The 25763-nt window shown below is 38.3% G+C and overlaps 1 long non-coding RNA gene across 2 annotated transcripts in view; it reads right to left on the reverse strand.

Annotated features, from left to right (window-relative positions):
• LOC107985255 (uncharacterized) overlaps positions 1 to 25763 on the reverse strand; it is a 313794-nt gene that overhangs the window by 71017 nt on the left and 217014 nt on the right. The gene's annotated exons all lie outside the window — the stretch shown is intronic.

Below are 25763 nucleotides of genomic sequence, written 5' to 3' on the forward strand. Positions count from 1 at the left end.
TCTCTCCAAAGCTCTAATTGATGTGTATTCTATGTGTGTGTCAGTGTGTGTGTGTGTGTGTGTGTGTGTGTACAATCAACCATACCTGATGTAACACTGTAACCAAAATGATTTTGCTTTAATTTGATACAATTACTGTTAACTGGACCTAAAAAATTAACATGAGAAAACCATATTATTTGACTTTGCTCTGTCACTAGAGAGCTCAAATAAGAAGGATGCCTCTGCAGCTTCACACTGGCATCCTCAGTATTACCTGATTCAACTCTCTTGACTAATATTAATGATACATACCACATAAAGGGTTTTTTAAATCTCCCCAAATGGTTCATTCAATCAATCCCAAATTTGATTAACTTTTGATTTTTCACTAAATTAACCGAATTTACCTAACAGTAGTGGAACCATGTATATGTAGACTCCTCCTTGCTGGTGTGAGTGTAGACATGTGTATGTATCTGTGAGAAAGGGACAGGATTAAGTTGGTATTCTGGCAGACACTGGGCTTTGTTATTTGGATATTGAAAATCATAACCCAAAGAGAAAAGTACAGAGTTTAAAGATATTTTGATGAGAAAGAATCAGATATAGACATGACCGTAAAATGTTTTCTGGGAAAATTATACAGAAAGCAGAGTATTCTTTTGGAATAAGCTTTGAGTGACCAATATGAATATAATGCAGACCAGGTGAGATGGCTTGCCTGACAACTCCACACCAGGTAAGCAGATCTGGGAGAACTAGGTTAGGTTAGGGGAGGACTGGGTTTTATATCGTATTGTATTGTGTTGATTAGTTTACTTATTTCGGGAGGTCTAAAGTGGGGCTCATGCATCCACATTTTTAAAGAGCTCCCTAGGTGATTCTAAAGCACACCAAAAAATAGAAAATCTTGCACACAAATACACACACAACGCACATATATTCACCATTATAAAAATATCATTGCATTAGAAAAAAAATTTAGAGAAAAGTCATAAAATTACCTATAATTTGACTATCCTAACTCAACCTCTTAGAGCATTTTGAGATACTAATTCCAGATTTTTGTTTTCCATATGTATGTGATTTGTTGCTATTTTATAAACAAACATATAGCCATATGATTACCATCTACTAGATTTTTTTTTTTTTTTTTTTGAGATGTAGTCTTGCTCTGTCACCAGGCTGGAGTGCAGTAGTGCAATCTTGGCTCACTGCCACCTCTGCCTCCCAGGTTCTAGCAATTCTCCTGCCTCACCCTCCCGAGTACCTGGGACTACAGGCACATGCCACCACTCCCAGCTAATTTTTTGTATTTTAGTAGAGATGGGGTTTCACCCATGTTGCCCAGGCTGGTCTCAAACTCCTGAGCTCAGGCAATCCACCCACCTCGGCCTCTCAAAGTGCTAGGATTACAGGCCTGAGCCACTGCGCCTGGCCACCATCTACTAGATTTCAAATGAAACTTGAGGTGGAGTTTTTAGTAACTTCCTTTGTGAGGCTCTTCCCTGTTGAATACATCTGCCAGTCAGAAGCATCTATCTCTTCTCTTGACACTTGTGGCCAAATCACCCTTTGGATTAAATCTGAGATTAAGCTCAGGATGCCTGACTACCTTTGTATTAATTCAGCTTTTCTCCTGGTGAGAGTGCCACCCCTTTATCAGAAAGGCTTGAACTTAAAAGTAGCAACATGGGGGAGGGGGCGGAGATCTTAACCTGGATTTATCCATATTTTCCACTGCAATTCTATGTTTATACATACGAGGAGATATCAAAGCACTGCTTGGAATCTCTTGCCTCCCAGGAGTTCATAAATCTCTCCCTTTCACTTACACTGCAGGGATATTAAACACATTATTCTGTTTTGATTGAACGCCAGTAAAATTAAATTTCATCTTTCCATCTGTGGCACCATGCGGGGCCCATTGCTTTATGGAAAAGGGGAGAGTGGCAATGGTGGAGGGATCTCTTCAGGACGCACAGGAGCATGCCACTTTTTGCTAGACAAAATGAATTTTTCTCTTCCATGGCACAAATCTCAACATCTGCTCTGTCTTTACCTCCCAGACACCCTGACAGGTGTAGCCGTCTTTAAAACATTGCTAGGAAGCAACATATGGACAGTCAACAGTGTATAAAGGATAAACACACACAGGGTGGGGGCAGGGCTATGTTTCTGATCTTTCAGCCTTATTATTATTTCTTAATCTGGCTTTAATTTCTCCAGGCTTTCCTGGGTGTCCATCTTTCACCAACCCATCAAAATGTTTGGCACAGAATTGTGATTTTCACCCTTGGCTTTTCCAGCTGTTTCTCACCATTTAGCTACATCCCTGTCTCTTCCCCACCCCCAGGGAGAGGAAAGTTAAATGATGTTAATCTGCCAAATATTTCTAATCATTAGGAAGCCATGAAAATTAACATAACCATCAGAGGAAATTAATTGCCAAAGAAGACAAGGTTAGAACTGGAGAGTGAGGACTGGGGAGAGGAGGCAGGCAGAAGGGCACTTTGTTTCTCCTTTGTGGTTTTGACAGAGGGGTTACAGCTGGAGGACGGGAGGAGGCTAAGCACAGAGCTGCTTCCTACTCTTAATTATGAGAACAGCCCCAGAATTTCAAGTGGTGCCAGTGGTGAAAGACTAGCAGAGGGATTCCCTCGATTCCTTTCTCTTTTTCCTCTCCCTGCTCCACTGGGGGAGATTTCTGGTTATTTTTTAATTCCAGTTCAAAATAGAGGTTGGGGGAAAAGAAGCCCACACAGGCCTCCTGCAGGAAATACCATTAATAATTAATACCCAATAATAATCAAATCCATGGGAGACTCATTACAAGTAAAGTCTTGACAGACTCACCGATGGATGCCCTTAGCTTTGCTTCTTCATCAGCTTGCAGGATTTGTTCAGCAGGGATTTGAGCACACATAAGCAATGACAAAAAAAAAGGATAAATAGCAGGTTTGTTCACTGAAGAGGCTTATTCATCCCTATAGGATTTTTTTCATTTTAGGTTTATGGCTTGGTGGGGAATTTCTCTTTAATTGGGATTGTAATATAACGATGGAACCTGTCGACATTTACAAGAGAGATGGGAGGGCAATTCTTCCTAACTTGTTTGTTGTTATTATTACAACACTGGCTCCTTTAGGAGATTCTGTATAAAGGAAGCAGACAATCAGGCTGATTAGAGACAAAGCAGCCAGTAAGAGAAGAAAGAGAAGAGAGACTACGAGCCACAGGATTGATCTGGGGCTAGCAACTGCTTGGAAGTCAGGCTATTCAGAGAGCACTTTGCACATGGAATGTGTGCTTTAATCTTCACACTAAGGTCAGTGTTACAGCCCCATTTTCTAGATGAGGAAACTGAGGAAAAGGGAAGTTAGGTAATTTCCCCCAACATTTCAATTCATAAATGGCAGTGTTGGGATTCTATCCCTGGAAGCTGGCTGAGAAGTCAGCTCTGATTTGCTACTCTTTTCTGGCTTTTTGAGATGTGAAAAAATGACTCTCTCCAAAGTCAGGTGTACAATGTGGGAAGAGAAGCTCTTTTCTGAGCCTGGCTTTCCTAAGGGCAGAATTTTCTAGTGATTCTACCCTATGTTCTGTAAAGTATATGAAAATATTAAGGCCTCTTTCTTAACACGCTCACAGAGAAAGCAGGTGGAGTCATGGCAAGAAATCAGATTTCACTCAGATGGTTCAGCCAAAGGGAATTTAATGTAGAGATTGTTTACAGAGGTGTGGGTATGGCTAAGGCAGCCTAGTGCGGACTTAAGGAACCCAGAAACAAGCAACAGCAGCCGTTACCTCCAACACCGAATTCTAGGACAAAGGTCCAACCCTCAACTCACTGGAAACCATAGAGCACTTCCATAACCTTTAACCAAAACTTCAGCCAAACCAGGCTGGGTAGATATTTAAAGGACCTCCTCAGTTTGGAATTTTGTTTATTTAATTAAGAAAAAATTTTGGGCCAGGCGTGGTGGCTCACGCCTGTAATCCCAGCATTTTGCAAGGCCGAGGCGGGCGGATCACGAGATCAGGACATTGAGACCATCTTGGTCAACATGGTGAAACCCCGTCCCTACTAAAATGCAAAAAATTAGCCAGGCGTGGTGGCACGCACCTGTAGTCCCAGCTACTTGGGAGGCTGAGGTGGGGGAATTGCTTGAACCCGGGAGGTGGAGGTTGCAGTGAGCCGAGATCATGCCACTGCACTCCAGCCTGGCAACAGAGTGAGACTCCATCTCAAAAAAAAAAAAAAAAAAAAAAAAAAAGAAAAAGAAAAGAGAAGAAAGAAAGAAAACATTTGGAATGGACAAAAAATACAAAAATAATAAAATAAACCCAATAAACACAATATCAAAATTTGTCAAACGCTAGCCTAGTCATTTCACATTTCTTATTTTCAAAAAAATTTAAAGCTACAGTGTAACTAAAGTCTTCCCACCCTCCTTCTCTTCCTCTTCATTCTCACTTATCTTCCCTCTCATCATGAGTGATTGCTATTCTGGATTTGGTGACATCTCATTAGCATACTTTCATATTTTTACTACATATTGATATATCTGTAATCGATAGATATTGCTTTGTATAATTTAAATGCATATAAATTGCATTTGTAACTACAGTTTACATATAAAATGTATTTGTAAACAACTTGCTTTTTTTCATTTAACATATTTTTAAGTTAATTCCTATTGCTATAGACACATCAAATTTATTATCTGCCTGGTATTCCATTGTATGACTAAACTATAGTTATCCCTTTTTTCTTGATAATATTCAAGCTGTTTTCAATTTTTCTGTTGAAAACAATGCTGGAATAAGCATTTGTGTACATATCTACATGAGAACATAATGCAGGAAATTGTCTAGAAGTGGATTCACTGGGTTATAAAGCATTCCTATCCTTGATTATGCTGATAATGCCAGACTGCCTTCCACAGTGCCAATTTTATAGTCACCATCACTGAATGATAATTTGCATTCTTCATATTCTGGCTTTAATTTACACCTTCTGGTTCTAATTTATATTTCCTTTATTCCAAATGAAATTGAACTCAAACTTTTCATGTGTTTACGAGACATTCATGTTTCTGCTCTTATGTGTCTGTTTAAATATATATTCTATCTTTTTCTTCAATTGTCTTTATCTTACTCTTTAAAGGAGTGTTTTATATATTCTGGTCACTAATTTTTATGTATATGACAAATACTTATCTTTTAATTTTTGAATGTTGAATGTCTTCAATGTATAGTTTTTTTTTCTATTATTTTACTTTAAATTTTTTTATATTTTTCTGTTTAAAATGAGGGTCTTACACATAGCACTTCATTATGTGTTAACAATTTCTGCCTTTCAATTTGACCTTAGACAATTTACATTTAATGTAATTATTCATATGGTTAACCATTAAATCTACTATCTTATGATTTGTTTTCTAGTTGAGCTGTATCCATTTTTTGTTGTTTTCTATCTGCTTTTAGATCTTCATCTACAAAATTGTTTGTTAGTTTCTTTTTTTGTTTTTCTTTCATTTTCATCTTTATTATTGGCTTATTAGCTAAAACCTTTTGTTTCAGTGGTTGCTGTAGGGTTTACAGTGTTTACTTTTTATATACTATAGTCGACCTTCAAAAAATATTATACTGCTTCTTGCATAATGTATGAACCTTACAAATGAATGCATCATTTCTTCCTTCTATACTTTGCTGTATAGTTGTCATATATTTTACTTTTATATATGCTATAAACTCTACAATATATTATTGGTGTTTTTGCTTTAAATAGTAAATTATCTTTTTTAAAAAATAAACTTTTTATTTTGGAATAACTTTAGATTTGCAAGAAAGTTGCAATGAAACAGATTTCTCACATATACTTTACCAATTTCTCCTAATGTTAACATCTCACACAATTATAGTACATTTGTCAAAACTAACAACTAACATTGATACACTACTCTTAACTAAATATAGATCTTATTCAAATTATTAAAGTTTCCACTAATGTGCCTTTTCGAAAAAGACAATTATCTTTTTAATTTTTTTAGATAATTGAAGATTCACTTGCATTTTTAAGAAATAATAAAGAGACATCCTATGTATCCTTTACTCAGCTTCCTTCAGTGGTAACATCTTGTGATACTATAGTACAATATCACAGTGATGATATCGATAGGATCAAGAGACAAAACATTTTCATCATCACAGTGATCCCTCACGTTGCCCTTTTATACCTACTCCTGCTTTTCTCTCACCTCCCTTGTCTTCCCTCCTCCCTAATTCCTCGTCTTTTATTCTGGCAACCACTAATGTGTTCTCCATTTCCAAAATGTGTTATTTCAAGGTTGTTATGTAAGTGAAATCATAAAATAGACAATCTTCTGAAATTGGTTTTCTCCACTAAGTATAATTCTTTGGAGACTTATTCAATTTGCTCCATATACAATATTTTGTAATTTGTTCCTTTTTATTGCTGAGTAGTAGTCTATGGTATGAATGGATGTACCACAGTTTGTTTAATTATTCATTTGTCAAGAGACATCTGGATTGTTTCCAGTCTTGTGATCTTATGAATGAGGCTACTATAAACATCCCTGTACAGGTTTTTATGTGAATATATGTTTTCATTTCTATGAAATAAGTCAACTAATTGCTGGGATATATGGAAATTACATGTTTAATTTTTAAAGAAACTGACAAACTTTTTTTCAGAGTGGCTGTGCCATTTTACACTCCCACCAGCAATGTGTGAGTGATCCAGTCTCTCTATCTCCTCACTGTCACTATTTTTTAATCTTGCCATTTTGATTTTTGTGTTGCAATATCTCATTGTGGTTTTAATTTGCATTTCCCTAATGCATAGTGATAATGAACATCTTTTTATGTGCTTATTTGCCATCCATACATTCTTTTCAGTGAAATGTCTTCATGTCTTTTACCCATTTTCTAACTGGATTATTTGGGTTTTTTTTTTTTTTTTTTTTTTTTTTTTTTACTGTTGAGTTTTGAGAGTATTTTCTACATACTAGGTATTAGCCTTTTGATGGCTATATGCTTTGGAAATATTTTCTTCCCATCTATACCTCCTCTTTTCATCCTCTTAAAAGTATCTTCTGCAGAGTAAAAGTTTGTAATTTTGAAGAAGTATAGTTTTTTTTTCTTTTGTAAACTGTGGTTTGGTGTTAAGTCTAAAATATTTTTGCCTAGCTCTAGATCTCAAATATTTTCTCCTATATTTATTTCTGAAAGTTTTATAGTCTTATAACCACTTTTAAGTCTGTGATATATTGAGCTAATTTTTGTAAAAGGTGTGAGGTTCAGGTCAAGGTCATTTTTTGTGTATATCCAATTTCCCAGCACTATTTGTTGAAAGGACTATCTTCTACCATTAAATTGCTTTTGCACTTTGTCAAAAGTTTGTTGGTTACATTTGTCTATTTTGGAGTTTTCTATTCTGTTCCATTGATTTATGCACCTATACCTCTGTCATACTCTCTTGCTTACTTTAACCTGAAGTCAGTTTCATCTTGCCTTAGTTTTCATTTACAAAATTTTTTAGTTTCTTTTTTTGTTTTTTTCTTTGTGTCTGTTTTTATCCTTCCATTTACATTTTAGAATAATCTTGTCTATATCTATAAAGCATTCTTCCAGAATTTTGATAGGAATTATGTTAAACCTGTATATAAGTTTGGGGAAAATTGACATCTTTACTATGTTGTATCTTCCAACCCATGAACATGGTATGTCTTGCCATGTATTTAAATTTTGATGTCTTTCATCAGTAGTAATAATTTACAGCATATGAGTCCTGTATATGTTTTGTTTATACATTTGTATTTTTATTATGTTTACCTTGTATTCTATGACCTTATTATTAGTTCTAGGATTTTAAAAATAGATTCATTGGGATGTAGATATCATGTTATCTGCAAATAGGGACAGTTTTATTTCTTCCTTTCTAATATGTATGCCTTTTGCCTCTTTTTCTTTTTCTGCCTTTCTCTGTGTTACATGAACATTTTTTAGAATTAAATTTGGATTTCTCTATAGTGTCTTTTAGTTTGTCTAATTTTTAGCTTTTTTAGTGGCTGCTCCAGGTACTGTATTATATACAAATAACTTATCCCAATTTACTGGTGTTGACATTTTACCAATGCAAATAAGGTGTAGAAATCTTCTTTCTCTTCATGTTTTTTTATCTTCCCCCAATTATAATTGTCTTAAATAGTTCCTCTATACATATTTAAAATTACCTCAGACTGTTAAATTGTTGCTTGAATTGTTAAATAATATTTAGAAAACTAAATGGAAGAAAAATGTATTTGCCCATGTTTTTACTCTTTCTGTTATTCTTTTTTTCTTCCTAATGTTTTAAGATTCCTTCTTCTATCATTTTATTTCTATTTAGAAAACTTCCTTTATCATTCTCTTAGGGTAGGCCTACTGGTGAAACTTTATCTTAGTTTTCCTTCATCTGAGAATATTTTGATTTTCCCTTTCTTCTGGAAAGATATCTTTGCTGAATATAGAATTCTGACTTCACAGGTTTTTTTTTTTCTTTTAGCACTTGAAAATTGTGCAAATTCTTTCTGACCTCCATGGTTTCTGATGAGAGATCCACTATTATCCAAATTGCTTTTCCCTTAGAGGTAAAGTGTCACTTCTCTCTTGCTGCTTCCAATATTTTATTTCTTTGATTTTCAGAAGTTTGACTATCATATATCTGGGTTAGACTACTTTTCAGTTTATCTTGTTTGGAGTTCAGCCTGCTTCTTGAATCTGTCATTGTTGTTTTGCCAAATTTGTGAAGCATTCAGTCATTATTTCTTCTAGTCTCCTACTAATTTTTCAGCTCTGCTAAGTTTCTCTTCTCTTTTCAGGATTCTGATACCAAAGTTAGAGCATTTGTTACAGTCCCACAGTTCCCTGAAAATTTATTCACTATTTTCTTTCAGTGTATTTTCTCTGATATTCAGATAGGATAATGATAATTTCTACTATTTTATCTTCAAGTTCATTTTTTTCCTCTGTCCTTTCAATTCTGCTATTGAGTCCATCTATTAAGTTGTTTTTATTGCTATTATTTTGGCTATTTTATTTCTCAGGGTGCTGAGCAAGACAGCACCATGACCTCAATTATGTATTCAGAAGATCACTCTGGGTACTACAATGTGAAACAAAAATAGAAACAAGAAATGGTGACAGTTCAGACCTGGGTGGTAGCAGTAGAGATGGTATTAAGTGGTAGAGTTTAAGTTAAATGACAGCATTTTTGATGGATTGAAAATGTAGTATAGCAGGAAGGGAGGAATCAAGGATGATAACATCTAGATGCTTGGCCTGAGCAACTCATGAGTGGTGATGTAATTTTTTTAATATTGAGAGGAAGTGGGTGGGATTGAAAACTAGGAATCCAGTATACTCTATGGACAGCTTAATTTTAAGATGTTTACCAGGCTGGGCACAGTGGCTCAAGCCTGTAATCCCAGCACTTTGGGAGGCCGAGGTGGGCAGATCACGAGGTCAGGAGTTCGAGACCAGTCTGATATGGTGAAACCCCGTCTCTACTAAAAATACAAAAATTAGCTGAGCATGGTGGCGTGCACCTGTAATCCCAGCTACTCAGGAGGCTAAGGCAGGAGAATCGCTTGAACCTGGGAGGCGGAGGTTGCAGTGAGCCAAGATCACGCCATTGCACTCCAGCCTGGGCGACAGAGTGAGACTCTGACTCAAAAAAATAAATAAATAAATAAATACAATAAAAAGATGTTTAGCAGACATCCAAGTGAATATACTGAGAAGAGAGCTAAATGTATACAACCAAAGCACAGGAGAAGGTTAATTTTTGAGATTTTAAATACAGGACTCACCAGTATATGTCATGTTTCATCAAATCAAGGTCACCATTGATTCTAAGATATAGCCTTAAGGGAAAAAAAACTGCCAATTAAAGTATGGTTTAATTGTGCCTTAATGGTTTTTCATGGTACATTAATTGGTCATATCTATACATTGATTTGGTTATTTTTTCTACCATATTCGACAAATTCTCCTGCCTCTTTTTACATCAATAAGCATGTGGTAGGTAATTGTTTTGCATATATCTTAGTAACAAAATATAAAAAAGCCTCTTTTGATGATATCTTTTTTTCTTTGGATGCTTAAAGCACTTGATTGTTGTTTTGGAATAAAAAATTAAATTTCATCATTCCATATTCCTTCATATTTCCTGTTTCCATGTTTTCTGCATACATAATAATAATTTTTTCGGTGGGGGGGAATGGAGTCTCACTCTGTCACCCAGGCTGGAGTACGGTGGCATGATCTTCGCTCATTGCAACCTCCGCTTCCCGGGTTCAAGCAATTCTCCTGTCTCAGCCTCCCAAGTATCTGGGACTACAGGCATGCACCACCATGCCCAGCTAATTTTTGTATTTTAGTAGAGATGGGGTTTCACCATATTGGCCAGGCTGGTCTCGAACACCTGACCTCGAGATCCGCCTTTCTCAGCCTCCCAAAGTGCTGGGATTATAGGTATGAGCCACCGTGCCTGGCCACACAATAATAATCTTTAAATACCAAATCACAGTATTAGTTTTTAAATTTATTTTAAACACCATTAAAACCAACATGTATAGTACCATTTATCCATAAATCTCTACTGAAGTTAAGATAATATTAACAACAATGACCAAGTTCTTGCAATGCATTCAAAGAAAACTAAATCAAGACCACTGCCTGGATGACAACTATTTTTGGACGCATCCTGATTCAGAGATGTAAAAAGGTGAAACCATTTGTGTCTGAGATTGATGAAATGTGGCAAGTACTTCCACCATGAGAAACATTAAGAAGACATAGTAAAAGTGTCAAAAGAGTAGAGAAGACGTCTGAGGTCTGAATTCTGGGACGTTTTAGCAGAGAAGACTAAAACAGAGTATCCAATGAGGTAGGAGGGAAATTAGTGGAATGTAGTTCCTACCAAGACAAGAAATAAAGTATTTTGAGAAGGAAAGAATGATCTGCTATGTCAAATGCTATAGAGGAAATACAGAGGAGGACTAAAAATTGACCACTGGAATTGGAAACATGGTAATCTTTGGTGACCTCAACAAGTGCTGTTTCTTAAGCATGGTAGAGCGAGTAACTTGATTAAAATGGATTTAAAAGGGAATAGGAAATGAGAGAATAAAGGCAACCTTTCCCAGGCTGTTGTTTGTTTTTACTTTTTTGTTTGTTCTATTTTGTTTTGTTTTGTTTTGTTTTTGTTTATTTGTTTGAGACAGAGTCTCACTCTGTCACCCAGGCTGGAGTGCAGGGGCACAATCTTGGCTCACTGCAACCTCAGCCTCCCGAGTTCAAGTGATGCTCGTGCCTCAGCCTCCCAAGTAACTGGGACTACAGGTGTGTGCCACCACGCCTGGCTACTTTTTGTATTTTTAGTAGAGACAGGGTTTCACCATTTTGGCCAGGCTGGTTTTGAACTCCTGACCTCAGGTGATCCACCCACCTCGGCCTCCCAAAGTGCTGGGATTACAGGCATGAGCCACCATGCCTGGCCTTGTTTTGTTTTTATAAAAGGAAGCAGAAAAACATGGTCAGCAACTATAAGAAAACATAGGATTAAAAGATTTTATTTTAAATTGGGAGATTTTTTAGTATAGTTTTATGCCAGTAAGAATACTGGTAGAGAAAGAAAACCTGATCATGAAGGTAAAGAAAGAGCAACACCCCTTAGACATAAACAATAGAATATAGCATCATTCAGACCTCTGTGCTAGGCTCATGTTGTATAGTTATTGATAACTAAATCTTCTAGATCAAGAATCCTTTATGGCTCAGATTATGCTCCATTTACTTTTTTATTTCTCTCTCTCTCTTTTTTTTTTTTTTTTTGAGACAGGGTGTTGCTCTGTCACTCAGGCTAGAATGCAGTGGTGCAATCTTGGCTCACTACAGACTCAACCTCCCAGGCTCAAGCGATCCTCCTACCTTAGCCCCCCAAGTACCTGGGACTACATGCACGTGCCACCTTGCCTAGCTAATTTTTCTATTTTTTGTAGAAGTGGGGTTTCACCATGTTGCCCAGGCTGGTCTCAAACTCCTGAACTCAGGCAATCTGCCCACCTCAGCCTCCCAAAGTGTTGGGACTACAGGGGTGAGCCACTGCACCCAGCCTCCATTTACTTCTTAATATTGAGTTGAGGCAGAATAAAATGGTGTTCATTAGTGTGTACTAATTAGTGTAGGCCATCTGGATTTGGAACCTGAGTTCCAAAGACACTTGGGTACTTGGACACTTGCTAGATGGATTCCTGACCAAACTATATATTAGCTTTTCTATGCTGCACTTTCCTCATCCATAAAATGGGGATAATATTTCTTATGTGTTATGAAAATCAAAGTATAAATACATGTAAAGTGTTTAGAACAGTTATCTGACATGTTACAAATACACAATAATTGTTAGCAACAGTTACTGAGTATAGAACTTGGCATAGTATGTGCATTCATGAATGAATGAATGAATATTATTTTAAAATATCTTTATAGGTTAATTATTTCCTAGTATAGCTCTTTCTTGATTCCAGCCTTAAACTCTATTGTGCCTTCAGCTAAGGTTGTTCAAACCCCACCTGCAGACAGCCTCATGCCAGTCTCTTCAGACCAATTCTGACCTTAGAGAAGATTTCAGGGGCTGCTGGCTAATGTGTAGCTCTAACCTTGTGCCCCACATGTGCAAACTGACGTGGGCATCTGCCTTTTTTCTTGCGCTCAGGCCTCCTCCTTTCTTAGTCATCCTTGCCCCTCTACTTGTTTCTATGTCTGTCTCTCTCCTTCTTGACTCCATGGAATCTGGATTCGCCTTGCTGTGCTTCCTAGATTGTAAACTCTGCTTAGCTTCACTCATGACTTTGGAATGGGCATTAAGCTCCCAGGGGTCCCCTTGTAATTAATGTTCATAATGAGTGTAAATATGCTGCAGAGATTTGCAGCACAATATGCCACATGTGGATCTCATTGGGACCAAAAGATTGTAGCCCCAATTCTAAGGCCTTTAGGATATGGGAAATAGAGGCACATGAAGGGTTGTAAGAGGGCTAATAAGGCATGTGAGGATTAGGTAATTAACGGATCTAGTGCCATCCTGGGAAATTTTGTAAAAGGGTTTCTCACTAGTCCTGCTCCTCTGAAGGCAAATTTCTTAATGTAAGATAATTCTTCATTTCTTTCTAGTTCGTGGGGGGTTTCCCTCTTGGGGAACATCTAGGGAGAGTATAGCTTTAGTTTGCATTTTCTTCCACCTGTGGTCTGGATTATAATTAAAGCTTTATCAGCAAGGCGCCATGGAGTGAAGTGAAGTAATTATCTGGATAATCCACATTGAAGAGAAAGGAAATGTTCACGTCTTCGTTTAGATTATTCTACGTGGCTTTGTCTTTGTGAATCAGTCAATAAGGTAACCATGTGGAGGATAGAAAGCGCATAATAGAAATTCATTAAATATTTGCTGGATGGATAAATCTTTTATTCAAAATACTAATTATTATCAGTAGTTCTTAATAGTTCTGGCTTGCATTTAGGTTTTATACGTGCTCTCATCTCTTGGCTTGGCAAGTTAAGATACAGGAATAAGAAGATCGATTTCATTCCCCAAATATGCCTTAGTTCACTTAGCTGTGGAAGAGAATCTGGATTTTACTGGTTTATTGTAAAATATTTTTTTGTAATTTACCAGACAATGTTGCACCTTTTCTCTTTTCTTAACTTGAACAGTAGAAACCTGATACCACAACGGCCTTTGAATTTGGGGAGAAAAATCAATTGGTGAAACCATTGGTTTGCCTCTCTATAGATGAATTATTGAGTTGACTGATCAGCTTGTTTCACTTATCTAAAAATTTCCTGAAGGAATGTTAATGCTTGGGGGCAGAACACTGGTTTCCATGTTCTATGTCTTCTGTGACATTTGTGACTCTGAAGTGTATTTCTCGTCACAAGACTTTCAATCCTTGACCAATAACTTTCACAGCTTGAAAGCTAGAGACATCCAAACCAAGAATAAGAAATAGGAAAGAAGAAAAAGAGGACAAATTTGATGGACACAGATCTTGATTTTGAGTTTATCTTTTTCTTTATTTCCTATGTTCTTGGGAAAAAAATATTAAAAGTTTCAGAAACCGGAAGCCTTGCTTGACTTTCTTTGTAATTTTACATAGTCCCCTTAACTACCCTGTATCTTGCTTTGTCATCTGTTTAAAGGGAATGATTGGCCGGGTGTGGTGACTCATGCCTGTAATCCCAGCACTTTGGGAGGCCGAGGCGGGAGGATCACCAGCGGTCGGGAGTTCAAGACCAGCCTGACCAACATGGAGAAACCCCGTCTCTACTAAAAATACAAAATTAGCCAGGCATGGTGGCACATGCCTGTAGTCCCAGCTACTCGGGAGGCTGAGGCAGGAGAACGCAGGAGACAGAGGTTGCAGTGAGCCGAGATTGCGCCATTGCACTCCAGCCTGGGCAACAAGAGTGAAACTCCATCTCTGAAAAACAAAAAAAAAACAAACAAAAACCAAAAAAAAAAAAAAAAAAAGGGGGGGAATGATTATATCCACTCACAAGACATTAGTGAGAACCATATGAAATGCATGTAGAAAACTGAAAACTACTGAACTGCCTACAAATATAAGGGTAGTGTCAGAAATGGCCGTGATATGAAGAAACCTTGGTTTTCATATTGTGGGTATATCCCACAATCAGAAACCTAGAAAACTAATTCCATCAAATAACTTATTATATCAATGTCCATGCCCTAACTTAAAGATAAACTAATAGGAAAGAAGGTTGCATCCTGTGCTGGAAAGAATTCTGTACCAGACAGGCACCTAAGACCGTGTCCTGGATTAGTCTGCAGTGTAGTTAACAAAAAAGTAACACAAAAAGCATTTTACAAAATCAACAAACTGTATTTTACAACAGGTAAAGATAATCTCCTCCCTCTTTTTTACTAAATGACACTTGCCTGAGTAGCCAAGGGGCTAGCGGAAGAAGTAGCCCTATGCCTGAGAATGCCCTTCAAGCTTGTGCAAGTACTCAGTTTCTTTGTCACAGGGCATAGAAATGGACTGCTAGACTCAGGATGACTCCCTGCTGAGGATCGTCCTTTCTATATAGAGCTTAAATCTCCAGCCTACCCAATTTTTGCAAAGTCCTCTGCAGTAACAGAGTTTATGTGTTTGAAGGGGAACAGGACTACTTATAAAATATCAGCTCTGCTTCTTACTAGCAGATTTGTCGGCTTGCACAAATCACCTTACCTTTCTGAATCTTAATTCCTAATTTTATCTAAAATGTGGAAAATAGGGCCAGATGCAGTGGCTCACCCCTGTAATCCCAGCACTTGGGGAGGCTGAGACAGGTGGATCACCTGAGGTCAGGAGTTTGAGAGCAGCCTGGCCAACATGATGAAACCCTGTCTCTACAAAAATACAAAAATTAGCTGGGCGTGTTGGCACGTGCCTGTAATCCCAGATACTTGGGAGGCTGAGGCCAGACAATTGCGTGAACCCAGGAGGCAGAGGTTTCAGTGAGCCGAGACAGTGCCATTGCACTCCAGACTGGGCAACAAGAATGAAACTCTGTCTTAAAAAAATAATAATAAATAAATAAATAAAATAAAATCTACTTCATCTGATTGTTGTGAGATACCTGGACCATTGAGGGGCTTCAACCATGTTGGTTTTCTTTATAGTTCTCTTTCCTGTTTAAGGAGAGCCAAATGAGTGAATCTTTGTTCAATTATTCCAATGTCTCTCCATTTTCCTCTCTTTTCCTCCTAGATGACAGAATCAGACATCCAAAGTAAATATTCACAGCTATTCCACCACCACAGCCCTCTGATTTTATTGTCACCATGTAGAACAATCACATTCTCTAGCCCTCTCTTAGAGCTCAGTAACAGTTCAAAGCACCCTGTCCTAGGCTAAGCAAGCCTAGAAAGAGAGAAAGAGAAAGAATGAAAGAGAAAGAGACAGAGAGAGGGAAGGAAGGGAGACAGTAAGAGGGAGGTGGAAAGAAAGTAACCACCCAGTGAGGTCATCGTGCCTGCTGCCCAAATAGAGCTGATTTACTGAGACAGAGGAATTGTAATGGGGAAAGAGTTTAATACACATACAGCCCATTAAGTGGGAGACCGGAATTTTATTATTACTCAAATCAGTATCTCTGAAAATTCAGAGGTTAGGACTTTTCAAGGAGTTTGGTGGGCAGGGGTCTAGGGAATGGGTACGGCTGATCAGTTGGGGTCGCCATCATAGGGGTGGGGAAAACTGTCCTTCGTTGCTGAGTCCACCTCTGGATGGGGGCACAGAGCAGTCACTGGTTTGGATGGAGCCATCCAGTCATTAGAAATGCAAACGCCTGAAGAAAGATCTCAAAAGTCCAATGTTAGGTTATATTAATAAAATAGTGATGTTATTTACAGGAGTAACTGGGGAAATTTACAAATCTTGTGACTTCCAGAACAAAGGCTGGTTATTGCTTAACTACATCTACATCTTAGCAGAATTCAGGCTCCTCTTATCCTCCTAAGTTGGTGGACTTTCATTAATTTTACCAAGGCAATTTAGTTTTGGGAAGGGCTATTATCATTTAAACTATAAGCTAAATTTCTTTCCAATTTAGCCTGGCCCACACTCAGGAAAGACTAGGGCAGTTTGGAGGTTAAAGGCAGGATAGAGTTGGTTAGGTCAGAATTCTTTCACTGTTATAAGTTTTGCAAATATGGTTTCAGAAGGAAAAGTCATTTTCGACTCTGCACTTGGAGGCATTCCTTTAGTTTGTGTAGAAGCAGCTGGGAAGGAAGCCTGAGTTACAGGTCACCTAGGGATGGAGAGAGAGGCAGGTAGAAAACACTTGAGCTCAGAATTCTTGTTCTAGCTGAGCAGATGTATAGTAGTATGCAGTCAACAAATTGTCCTTAGGTGCTAGGTACTGGAGTACAAACATGAATGACACTCAGTCTAATTCAGTGCTATCCAATAGTATGTTCTATGATAATGGAAATGTGCTCTCCTGCACCTTCCAGTATGGTAATTACTAGCCATGTGGCTATTGAGCATTTTAAATGTGGCCAGTGTGACTGATGAACTGAATTCTTAATGTCACTTAATTTAACTTAGTTTAAATTTACATAACCACATGTAGCTAGCTAGCGACAATAATATCAGACAGCCCAGTTCTAATTTGTTGTTATTGGAAATATAGATTTGTGAGTGCTGGAATAGCTACCAGAAGATGACTTTAATCCATATACTCTCTTTTCTGGCATTAGCAGAGTTACCAAAGCTGTTGATGTTATGCTACTGGATTGTGGAGAGAGTAGGAAGACATTCAATGTATCCAAATCCAGCCAAATGAATAATACACCAAGCAAACCTCCATTTATAACTGCCTGTCAAGGATGCTGACCAGGTTTCATTCGGACATGGTATATCAGCTTCTGTTTTTAGGACGGCTGTTCAGATTGTGTCTGCCAGTTGTCATCTGAGAAGTAGACATAGAAGAAATTCCTGCTGAAGTGGCAGTAAAAATGATCCATAAACCTGCTGCTGATCCTTAACCTTCTGCATCCTTTCTAAGAGGATTCCTCGCACAGAGCTAATCCTTCAAAATCTTCTTTTTATGTGCTTTTGAAACACACCAACAACGATTTGAGACTGAGCCTATTATTTCCAGAAAAATTTTCAAGAACAAAGTGGTTGAGAATTAAAGTAAGTTTGTAAAGACAAAGAGATTTAATTGAATATGCACTTTGTTCTCAGAGTGATGTTAATTATCCTGTGGGATATGCTAAAATAAGTTAAGGTTATATTCTACATTAAAGAACTAGACATCTACTTTAAGGAAAATAAAAATAAAATAAACACAGACAGTGTGCAAGGCAGCTTTTGCAAACGCTATCCACTGCTGCCTTCTTTAGAACCACGTTGACATTCTTCATCCTTATATTCTGTCTTCACTCTTTCTGCCCAAACCACCACTGAGCAGGGCAAGCTCTATTCCACCTACAGGTTGGGTCTATAATGAGTCTTATTGCCATAGATCCTGCAGTTAATGTGCTTGGTGCCTGCTCTACAAACAGTTCTCTATGCCACTGTTCTCCCAATTCCACTTGTATTAAACTTTTTTGTTAAACAAATTTCAGTATTCTAGTCTCCTAGGAGAATCCCAAATTTTTTGGTGAGCCTGTACATCTGCTTAGTTTGCATTCATCTCTTGCCCTGATAGACTGAACTGTTTCTTTTTCTCCCAGCTGAAAGCTGAGAATTTTCTCCAACTCGAGCCATCCTGTTCCCATGCATTTGACTTAAAGTTTTCCCACATCCTGGCCACTCTCACCGTGGCCCACAGGCTGTGAGTCCAATATGGACTTCCTAGAATGTAGATTGTGGCACCAGCTAAAATCAAGCCTGGCTTTACCAGCCCCCTCCTCTACTTCCCTTCACCCCATTATCGCCCACAAACAACATGCTCTAGCTTGGAATTGGCTCCTTCTTCATGTAGGGCTTCCTCCTCCTCCCACCAACACTGACCATCCTGATCCTAACCTTCCCTGCAGCAAATCTGCTTGACTGATGACAAACCCCTGGTGCTAAGTATTTCAGGGATTCTTGGGAGCCAATTTCAATTTGTGCTAATGCCTGATGTTTGGTGGTTTGGCACACGTTATAGTTGGCCAGAAAAAAGCCCCAATTCCTTATCCCAGAGACTGACCAATGTCAAATACTTCAGCATTTGGAGTGTCTGTGACATTGAATCAGTAAACGTCACTATCAGAAATAAAATGAATCATCTCCCTTGCCTTTACGACACGCTTTCCAGCTCATTATTATAAGATGCCTGTTAAATTTTGTGTCCCCCTGCCAAAAGATTAAGCCTCGTGTGTGTTAGCAGCGCTAATGAACCACTTGCTTTTGTATCTTTTTTCTAGATGGTTTGTCACCAGGGCTGTCCTGTCCTGTAAAGCCCCAGTGACAGTGAGCTGTTGACAGAGTATTAGAAAGAGCTCAGATCTTTAAAACCAGGGATGTGACAGAGAATTTTTTCAGTTTCCCAATCTTTACAGTCTCTGTGCTCTAACACGATTCCATTAAACCATAAAGATTAGAGCTTGTCAGGCCCTTAGCATCTTTCCTCTGATTTGCAAAAACGAGTGGGGATTTGTTATTAATTCCTGTTGTTGCAGCTACAGAGCAGGAACCATTAACTATAGCTAAGCCATTAACCTGATTGGTATTAATCAGAAGTGTCCCATGAGTCATATTGGTGTGAGAGGCCTGGATGTTTTTCAGTAGAGGGGCTTTGTGGAATCAAATGAGAATTGATTGATGATCCCAGAGTGCATGTATCCAACTCAGGAACCAGCCACATTGTGGGTGCTTTGCTTTAATGAAAGCACTGCCCTCTCTGCATGCAAAGAAAGCAAGTTGGTTTAACTGACCCATCACAAAGATGGTCTGTGCTTTGAGTTACTTCTTCAGCAGGGAGATTGGACTACACAGATTTATTCGCAGTCTCACCTAGCTCTTCCTGAGGCCAATGTTGTGTATCTTGAGAAACAAGGTACTGCATTTTTCAAAGAGAAAGAGAGAGAAGGAGAGAGAGAAGTGAACTGGCACAAGTGAACCACTGGCATCTTCTGCCCTTCAAAGATTGCTCTTTGGAAGACTGGCCCAGAGATGCTATTCAGCACTAGCTCTTACAGAGTCTCTCCAATGGCTCCCATACATGGCACAACCAATATGTTTGAGGCAGATGTCAAAGAGTACAGTCCTCAGCCAAGACACAGAAACAAATTCAAGGAGTCCACTAGGGGATTAAGCCTGTGACCTTGGTGTCATCAGTATCATGCTCTAATTAACTGAGCTAACCAGACACAGGTGCTCTGGACAGCTGAGCTAACTCTCTATAGAAAAGGCCAAAACAGAAAAGCATTCCCCACAGCTTTCATAATCTATTATTTACCAGCAACCTTCTTAAACACTTTTTACTGAATGGCTGCCCTCAAAAACTACAGTCATGACTATGTCAACAAGAGAACCCAAATATTTCGGTAACTACCCAGATTACTAAATAACATTTACATTGGACAGCATACCACAAAAAGTTATTTTGAATAAGGAATATTTACCAGTTGGAAAAATGAAATTATATTCACAAAGTGGTTTCTAGTAACTTAATCCCAATTAATTTTTCATCCCCCACACTGTCCAAATACAGATGGTGAAAATCCAGAGGAGACCCAGGCAAAATGTGGCTATAAGACCTCTTCTGGCCCTGCCTCTTATGAACTCTACAATACAAAGTTTGTTGTTGTTGTTTGTCACTTGATTATATCCTGGTTCAAAAACAGACTTGAGAAAACTTATAGAAAAATATTTTACAATATATGGAAATATACATACCAGTACTACAATATAAAAACCTGAATAACTGTGGAAATTCAGTGAAGTAGCAAACAAGTATAGGAAAATAAAATGAAATGAGGAATACAGTTGGCATGTGTACTACAAACCAGAAGGTCCTGCACAGTTGTTAAAGGTGTTCTCAAAATTTGGTTGTTTAGTTGAATTGAGAACACAATATTCGTAAAATACAAACAATCATAGCCCAGGAGTTGCATAGTGGTTCCTAATAAAAAGACCTATAATGAAAGTATGCCAAAGTTTCTACTAAAGGGAGTGAGTCCCTCTTGTAAAACGGTAGATAAGGTCTTTACTCCTGACATCTCCATTGTAGAGGCAAAGAGGATATTATAATGAATGTCTTATGGCTGCTGCTTTTAGGGTTGATGATATGAGTTACATAATACCTAGCATTCATTCTACTTACTGACACTGGCCATGGACTACTTGGATTGTAGATTCAGTTTCCTGTGCTCAGGTCCTGACTCTAACTAAACTGTTTCTCCTTAGAGCAAAGGTTAATCCCATTTCTTTGTATTACCTGAAGCTTGTACCTCAGACCATTGCACAAAGTAGGTTTCTCAAAAATGTTTAATTAATAAAGATATAAGACATCTATTATTTTGTGTGTTTAATACCTCTCAATAACTTCTAGCTCAGTGCCACCTTCCCTTATCCACATGGTTACAATGAGTTGGGGCAGCCATGTTCAAACACTGAGAGCCCAGACCCTTGACCAAATCCAAAGATGATTTGGGGGAAGGCACTAATTCAAGCTGCACAAACCAGAAACTTGGCTTACCTTTGGGCATTTGGAATCGAGACTAAGCTAGTATAGTTAACCTGATTTAACTCTCCAATGGTGAGTTTTAATAACAGGCGTTCTTGATGTTATTGAGAGCATTTTTATGCTCTGGAGATATGGAAACTGGTCACTTCTGTGGCAACTGGAGAAGAAAGATTCACAGATGCAAGAAAAAGAAGGAAATGAGAGGCACAGAGAGACTTAACAGTTTCCCCTCACACTTTATTTCCTGAATGAAGTTCCTTGGTTCTGTAAGACATCTGTGTATCCATACAATAAATGTCTTTTTCTTAAGCTGCTTCAGTGGGTTTCTGCCATTCCCAACCAAAATTGTTACTAATACAATGGGCCATAGTAATCTAATTTGCCAATAATATTTTCAGTCATTGAATAAATATTTACTGGACACATACAATAAGCCAGGTACCATTCTAGGAGTTTGAAAGGCATCATGGAAAAAACAGACAAGATTTCTGCCCTGTTCTATGCCATACTACTCCTCCCTATGCTTTGCCTAAGGAACTGGTGATGTTTAACAAGGAGACAGTGTTAGGTATATTAGCATAGTTGTTTTCAAACATGTGAAGGTTAAACAAATCACAAAGGGACTTGACCCAAAAGAATTAGGGAAGGAGAAACTACCAAAGCTACTATAGTCTGGTAGGAAGTAGAACATTGAAAGTTTTCTAAAGTGTGTGTCTCAAAGTTTAGTATGCATTACAATCACCTAAAGGGGTTGTTAAAACATAGCCTCACCCACTCCCTAAGAGTCTCACTTAATATATTTGGGGTGTGGCTTGAGGATTTGCATTTCTAACTATCTCCCAGGGAGGGCAGATGCTGCTGCTCCACACATCACTCTTCAAGTTATTAGTGGTCTACAGCATGAAGGAGCCTGATTTCACCGTCAGTTCTTCCATGTGTTTAAAGAATGAACACCAACCCTTCACAAATGCTTCCAAAAGCAGAAGAGGAACAAACACCCAAATGTCTGTCAACTGATGAATGGATAAACAAAAGGTGGTATATCTATATAATGAAATATTATTCAGACTTAAAAAGAAATGAGATACTTTGAGTATATACTGAGTAATGGGGCAAATGTATCTTTATTTTAAGTTCTTTGAAAAAATCTCCAAACTGCTTTCCACACTGGCTGAACTAATTTACCTTCCCACCAACAGTGTATAAGCATTCCCTTTTCTGTGCAGCCTCTCCAGCACTTGTTATATTTTGACTTTTTAATATTAGTCATGCTGACTAGTATGAGATCTCATTGTGGTTTTGATTTGCATTTCTCTGACAATTAGTGATGATAAGCATTTTTACTGTGTATATACCCAAAGGAATATAAATTATTCTACCAAAATAAATCATTACCAAATAAATCATTCTACCAAAGAGATATCTGCATTCATATGTTCATTGCAGTGCTACTTGCAATAGCTAAGATGTAAAATCAACCTAGGTGCCCATCAGTGGTGGATTGGATAAATAAAACATGCTACATATACAACACAGAATACTATCCAGCATAAAAAAATGAAATCAACATGGATTACAGCAACACGGATGCATCTGGAAGCCATAATCCTAAACAAATTACACAGGAATAGAAAACCAAATACTGCATGTTTTCACTTATAAGTGGGAGCTAAACATTGGGTACACATGGACATAAAGATGGGAACAATAGATACTGCAGAGAACTAGAGTGGGTAGGTAAAAGAAGGGTGTGGGTTGAAGAACTACCTATTGGGTGCTATGCTCACCACCACAGATCCATACCCCAAAGGTCAGCAATATGCAACATACCCATGTAACAAGCTTGCATTTTTTTTAATATTTATTTTTATATTATATAATGCCCCTGAATCTAAAATGAAATTTGAAATTATTTAAAAAAATGTGTTATGGGATCCATACACCAAATCTCAGCATCATGCAATATACCATGTAACAAACTTGCACTTCTTTTTTTTGTTTTTTCTGAGACAGAGTCTCACTCTGTCACCCAGGCTGGAGTGCAGTGGTGTGATCTCGGCTCACTGTAACCTCCACCTCCCGGGTTCATGCCATTCTCCTGCCTCAGCCTCCCAAGTAGCTGGGACTACAGGCACCTGCCACCACACCTGGCTAATTTTTTGTATTTTTGATAGAGATGGGGTTTCACTGTGTTAGCCAGGATGGTCTCTATCTCCTGACCTCGTGATCCACCTGCCTTGGCCTCCCAAAGTGCTGGGATTACAGGCGTAAGCCACTGCACCCGGCCCAAACTTGCATTTTTTATATTTTTTTTTATATTATATAATGCCCCTGAATCTAAAATGAAATTTGGGGTCAGGCATAGTGGCTCACACCTGTAATCCCAGCACTTTGGAAGGCCGAAGCAGGCAGATTACTTGAGGTAAGGAGTTTGAGACCAGCCTGGCCAACACGGTGAAACCCCGTCTCTACTAAAAATACAAAAATTAGCCAGATGTGATGGCACACACCTGTAATCCCAGATACTCGGAAGGCTGAGGCACAAGAATTTCTTGAACCCAGGAGGCAGAGGTTACAGTGAGCCAAGACCACACCATTGCACTTCGGCCTGGGTGACAGAGCAAGACATTGTCTCAAAAATAATAATAGTAATAAATAAAAATAAAATGAAATTTGAAATTAAAAAATGAAATTTCGACATATATTGCAAAACCAATGAACCATGAAAACAGTATACTCAGTAAAAGAAGACAGTTACAAAAGGCCAAATATTGTGTGATTCCATTTATATGAAATGTCCAGAATAGGCAAATTTGCAGAGACAGAAAGTAGATTGGTGTTTGTCAGGGGCTGGAGGGAGTGAAGGACAGGGAGTAATTGTTAATGGGTTTCTTTTGGAGTTATAAAAATGCCCTGAAATTAGATAAAGTGAAGGTTATATAGGAGAGAACAGATTTATTTTCTCACCTATTGTTAGGTTCATGGCAGAGACCCCAATAAAAAAAGAAAGATCAGCAAGAGAAAAGCATATAAATTTATTTACTAAGTTTTAGATGACATGGAGACTTCAGAAAGAAGACCTAAAGAGATGGGGAAAGCTATGGGTTTTTTTGTTTTTTGAGACAGAGTCTCACTCTCACCCAGGTTGGAGTGCAGTGGTGCGATCTCGACTCACTGCAACCTCCACCTCCTGGGTTCAAGCAATTCTCCTGCCTCGGCCTCCCAAGTAGCTGGGATTATAGGCATGTGCCACCTTGCACAGCTAATTTTTTTGTATTTTTAGTAGAGACAGGGTTTCAACATGTTGGCCAGGCTGGTCTCAAACTCCTGATCTCAAGTGATCCACCCGCCTCGGCCTCCCAGAGTGCTGAGATTACAGGCATGAGCCACCACGCCCGGCAGCTGTGTATTTTTATGCATGGGTTTCATGAAGAGTGGACAGTCATGGAGATGTATGATTAAAGAATGAAAGGGTGTGGTCTAACAGCAATAAACAGGGGGGATCTTACTGAGGCCTGTTGGTTCAGATTCTTTCTAGTGTCCCTGCGTGACATTCTTTCCCTCTGGTATAGGGCAGGACACCTGTTCCATGAAGGTCTGCAGGGAAGAAGGAAGGGAGTCCAGAGTGACCTTCCTAGGTTTTATGATCTGCTTCAGAGAAGAAGAGCAAGAAAAATTCTAGTTTCTATGACCTACTTTAGGGGAAGGGGGTTCAGAAGAAAGCCAGAGTTCTTTCCTGTTTCTGCAGCTCAATTTCTTTCAGCTTAAAATATTCAGTATGCCAAGGTGCCATATTTTGGGGTAGCATCTACTGAACCTCAGTTGCATAACTCTGTGAATATACTAGAGATCACTGAATTGTATAATTTAAAAGAATAGGTGAATTATGTCTTGATAAAGCCATTACTAATTTTTTTTTATAAAGGAAGGCATGAGCCACCTTGGGACTAATGATGGACAGGCATTTCCAGTAAACTTGCAGTTACTGGAGTGGCCTGACCCTAATTGGAGATTCCTTGAAATAGATGTTGAAGTAAGGAAATATAATGAAAAACTTTACCTTCTAAAGTCCTTCCTGATCCTCAGATTCTCTAGTGAATAAATCGATAAAGAGATTGTGATTTTAAGGTCATACTTATGCTACAGAATTGTAGACAATTGACACATACCATGAATTGTTTGGGTATTGTCTTCTTAACATTGCTTTCAGGCAATTAATGACCCCACTACTTTGTACAGGATAAAAATATAACTAATGTTCTTTATGTGGACCCTGCTGAATTGAACTCCTAATATAACAGGTCTACTTCAGTGGCTCATGTACAGATCAATACCTAGAAAGGTATTATAGAAACATGGCACATTTAGACTCTTGTAGACTTAAACTCTGGCAGACTGTGATACAAATCCTTTACCACAGAGCAGTAGAGTTAATGCAAAAGATATAGCACAGCCCACGGGTTAAAGTTATGGCCTCTGGAGCCAGACTCCCTGGGTATAAAACCTGGCTCTGCCAC

Source organism: Homo sapiens, chromosome 1 (assembly GCF_000001405.40).
Source record: "Homo sapiens chromosome 1, GRCh38.p14 Primary Assembly".
Lineage (NCBI taxonomy): Eukaryota > Metazoa > Chordata > Mammalia > Primates > Hominidae > Homo > Homo sapiens.